Below are 4,706 nucleotides of genomic sequence, written 5' to 3' on the forward strand. Positions count from 1 at the left end.
CTGGTGACCACGGTCCTCCTCTCTAAGCCGCAGAGCTCTCCATAAACCAACCAAGAAGTGCTTTGAGTACCACCTGTTGTCTAGATATTATTAGCCTCTCATTTTAATAACTAATAATTTTAAATTTGCTCTTCTCCAAAATTCATCCTAAGTGAGAACAGGATGTGGGTACACCCAACAGATAATTAGGTATGTACTCTCACTCGATTTAAAGAGAAACGATTGTGGCTTTTCTAATTCAATTAGGTTTTTGTTTCTTTCTTTCTTTTTTGAGATGGAGTCTTGCTCTGTCGCCAGGCTGGAGTGCAGTGGCGCGATCTCGGCTCACTGCAACCTCCGTCTCGTGGGTTCAAATGATTCTCCTGCCTCAGCCTCTTGAGTAGCTAGGACTACAGGTGCCTGCCACCATGCCCAGCAAATTTTTGTGTTTTTAGTAGAGAGGAGGTTTCACCATGTTGGCCAGGATGGTCTCAAACTCTTGACCTCGTGATCCGCCACCACGCCCAGCTAATTTTTGTATTTTTAGTAGAGGCAGAGTGTCACCATGTTGGCCAGACTGGCCTCGGACTGCTGACCCCAGGTCATCCGCCCACTTCAGCTTCCCAAAGGCATAATATATTTTTATCTTTGAAAATGCAATACATTGATAAGGTAAACCCATGTTAATTCAGAAACGTACGGAAATTTGCTCTCCAAAGTTAAATAACATCTGCTAAAGTATTTCAGTTTTCTCAGAGCCACTGAGAACTGATCAATCTCGAGGGATCCATGTGAAGGTACATCCAAGTTTTCCTTGGCCTCTCTCTATGTGGGTACCTGCTTAGGGGCTTCCCACCCCCATTACCATGTCAGGATGGCCAAAGGGGGACAATGATGCCTACCCTCATGTGGCATCATTTACTAAGGTCCTTCAATTGCCTGCTTAGATGCCACCCTTGGGCAAATTTGGGGAAGGTACCTCCAGGTGGATGTGTTAGAAAAAGGCACCCCTGGCCAGGCGCGGTGGCTCATGCCTGTAATCCCAGCACTTTGGGAGGCTGAGGCGGGCGGATCACAAGGTCAGGAGCTCAAGATCAGCCTGACCAACATGGTGAAACCCCGTCTCTTCTAAAAATACAAAAATTAGCCCGGTATGGTGGCTCGTGCCTGTAATCCCAGCTACTCAGGAAGCTGAGGCAGGAGAATCGCTTGAACCCAGGAGGTGGAGGTTGCAGTAAGCCGAGATCACACCATTGCACTCCAGCCTGGGCGACAGAGCAAGACTCCATCTCAGAAAAAAAAGAAAAAGAAAAAGAAAACGAAAACGGCAACCCTTCCTCCCCCGCAGATGCAGCCTCCCTCAAGGGTACACAGCTCAGTGGACCGATTTTAATTCCAGTCCGCCCCCTCAGCATACTCCCACAGGGGGGCCCTGCCACCCACTCCGTGGCCCACTCATTGGGTGCAAAATCCATCCATGCAGTTACATTACAGGTCTTGTAAATTAACACTCATCACTAGGGAAACCAGTTTTCTGGGAAATTAATAAGCTGTATGGAAATCATTTCCTAAGATTCCGGCGGCAGCCACAGAAACTTAAGCATGATTCAAACTCCTCAAATCTCTTCCAAGATTGCAACTTATTTCCTCCAAATAACTCTGTAACTCTTCAAAACCTGTGACTTCACCAAGCTCTCGGCAGTACAGAAATGGAAAATGAGCAGTCTCCAGTCGTGCGGTTTGAAACTAAGGCGCTGCGCCTCCCTGGATAAGTATCAAGGTCAGTGTTCCGACAACTTGCCAAAGTTCTATCACTCAGGAAGTGCAGTCTACTGGCCTTTGAGTGCCTCAGAGCTTAAGTTCCCAATAAGTCACTTTTCTCAAGAAGCAGGTCAACAAATCCCCTCATCCTAGTCACTCACTATCTTAAAATAAGCTAATCTCTATATCCTTTGACTTCAACTACCTCCATATGTCCATAAACTGGTAATGGTTCAGAGTTCAGGCATAAGGAAAATGCAGAATCTTAAGCATTTCCTCCAACACATCATTCAATAAACCTGACTTGAAATGTGGCCTGGTGTCAGCTGGAGTAGCTCTGCTCCTTTAAGGTCTAGATAAAACAGGTTGCAATCCCATTCCTGTGTCCTGTGGAAAGTCCAGGACTCTCCCTGAGATTTCTGCAAATGGGGCAGGGCAGGGAGGACTGTGCACACAGCTCCTGCAGCTCTCAGTCCCAGCCTCCTCTGCATTGAGGGTCTCCATTCTGTCCCCACGGTTGTTCCTTTATCTAGGCGCTGGTGTTATTTCAGCAGGACCAGCCCTTTCACTTGCAGGTTGCTGCTGTGAGGAGAACGAGGGAGCTGCCCCGCACCAGCTCAGACACTCCTCAGACGACTCATTCTCAAAAGTCCCTTTGCAGCTGGACGTGGTGGCTCACACCTGTAATCCCAGCACTTTGGGAGGCCGAGGCAGACAGATCACAAGGTCAGGAGTTCGAGACTAGCCTGACCAACATAGTGAAACCCCGTCTCTACTAAAAATACAAAAATTAGCTGGGCATAGTGGTGTGTGCCTGTAATCCCAACTACTCAGGAGGCTGAGGCAGGAGAATTGCTTGAACCGGGGAGGTGGAAGTTGCAGTGATCTGAGATCGTGCTACTGCACTCCAGCCTGGGTGACAGAGCAAGACTCCGTCTCAAAAAAAAAAAAAAAAAAGTCCCTTTGCAAAAACATCCAGAACTAGACATATCTCACTACCCATACCCTACCCAGGACACCCTGGCCCTGCTTGTGTCTCTCCCTCCTTCTCCTTTCCCATCTTTTCAGTCACCACCAACCCCCAAGTGCAAATTTGCCTTAGGATTTCAGATGAGCCATTCAGCTCCTCCTCCCCAAGTTACCCAGGCTGGCCTTCAAGCAAACCCTTCAAGGAACAAATGGGCTATTTATTCATTGAGCAGAGGCCTTGACTTCATAGCTGTTTTTCTCTAATGTTCATCCTCCTGAAAGACAGCTGCCATTTCAAAGAGCCATTGACTCTTTGCTTTTGCTTTTCTGATGATGATACAATGAAAATCAAGCACAATGACTTTCTTCGTCATCTTCCATAAACAGTGGAAACTGTCCCCCCGCCCAACCTTTCTATTGCAGGTGCCTGGCCTATGGTAAGTGCACTCAGCTTTTCCAAGCTTAGAATAAACTGCTGAAATTACAAATTGGCAGGTGGTTTGGCCCTACTGGTTTATAGTGCTAGCTACTTAGGTTTAAAAATGGAAAGGGGGCCAGGTGTGGTGGCTCCTGCCTGTAATCCCAACACTTTGGGAGGCCGAGGTGGGTTGCAGTGAGCTGAGATTGAGCCACTGCATTCACTCCAGCCTCGGCAATAGAGTGAGACTCCATCTCAAAATAAAAAAAAAAAAAAATTATATATATATATATATATATATACATATATATACATAAGCAGAAAGGGTTTTAGTTTAAAATCCTGGTCAGACCAGGTCACAGCCCAAGGTCTGGCAGGCCCCATTTGGTTGACAAGCTCTGTATCAGCCTGTCTCAGGAGTGCTGCTGCCTGGACATTGGGCAGCTTACAAACAGGGCAAGTGGCTGGCTTTGTTTACCCTCATGTCATTTTTGGCTGGACAGTCATTTTGCTCTTTCCTCTGATCCTTCTCTGCCCTCCCTCCCCACACATCGAAAGCCAAAAGGGAGCAGATTCTAATTTTCTACATTCTCTGAAAAAATCAAACACTCACTTTCCATGTGTGTATGTATATATACACATTCATACACATATATGCACATATGTATATGTATGCATACATATGTATGTTTGTGCATATACATACGTTCATAGACTCCTAGAGTTCATCATAGTAATATTCAACCTTGGACAGCATGTTAAAATCACCTGAAGACAGTTTTTTTGTTGTTTTTTTGTTTTTTGAGATGGAGTCTCCCTCTTGTCACCCAGGCTGGAGTGCAATGGCGCGATCTTAGCCCACTGCAAGCTCTGCCTCCCGGGTTCAAGTGATTCTCCTGCCTCAGCTCCCCGAGTAGCTGGGATTACAGGTGCGCACCATCACGCCCAGCAAATTTGTGTGTTTTTAGCAGAGACTGCTAGTCTCTGCAGTGATTACAGAGTGCTAGTCAAGTCTGACCAGTAGCAACATAACAGCATCATCTGGGATGCAGAGTCTCAGGCCACATCCCAGACCTACTGAATCAGAATCTGCATTTTAACAGAGCCCAGTAATTCGTGTGCATGTTACAACTTGAGAAGCCCCGATCTAGTCAAGCTTTCATTTGGCAGATGAGGCCCAGAGAGGCTGAGTGATTTCAGGGGTCATGCTGTTAACTGGAGACTCAGATAGGACTGGAGCCCAGATCTCTTTACTGCTATTTCCATCACATTATCATTGTTCAGATTTAGCCAATGGTTAGATATTCCTCAAAAGTTTGTCATCTTTCTCAAGTTTATCACAGCTCTCTATGATTTCCTCTGTTCACACACACAAAAAATCACATTTAAAAAACATTTAAGGTTTTATTTTCTGCTGGTAGAGGACAAAATGATTAGATGGCATGACAAAAAAAAATTGAGAAAGGCATCACGGATAGATATAAAGAAAAGATGGAAGACATTTAGCAAAATGATTGCCACCTAATTTGTGGATCAGGAGACTGCAGGGCCATAGCTGATCTTGATAAAGAGGACAAAG

At 45.9% G+C, this 4,706-nt stretch overlaps 2 annotated features.

The window, feature by feature from the left end:
• Nucleotides 1,202-1,451: an enhancer, noted in NCBI's record as "active region_20895". NCBI's record gives its function as "activates an Ori minimal core promoter by ATAC-STARR-seq in GM12878 lymphoblastoid cells {active_cell/tissue: GM12878}" and the evidence as "EXISTENCE:reporter gene assay evidence [ECO:0000049][PMID:35858748]".
• Nucleotides 2,122-2,416: a silencer, noted in NCBI's record as "tiled region #1359; K562 Repressive non-DNase unmatched - State 22:ReprW". NCBI's record gives its function as "represses a minimal TATA promoter and a strong SV40 promoter by Sharpr-MPRA in K562 cells {active_cell/tissue: K562}" and the evidence as "EXISTENCE:reporter gene assay evidence [ECO:0000049][PMID:27701403]".

Source organism: Homo sapiens, chromosome 3, assembly GCF_000001405.40.
Source record: "Homo sapiens chromosome 3, GRCh38.p14 Primary Assembly".
Taxonomy (NCBI): Eukaryota; Metazoa; Chordata; class Mammalia; order Primates; family Hominidae; genus Homo; species Homo sapiens.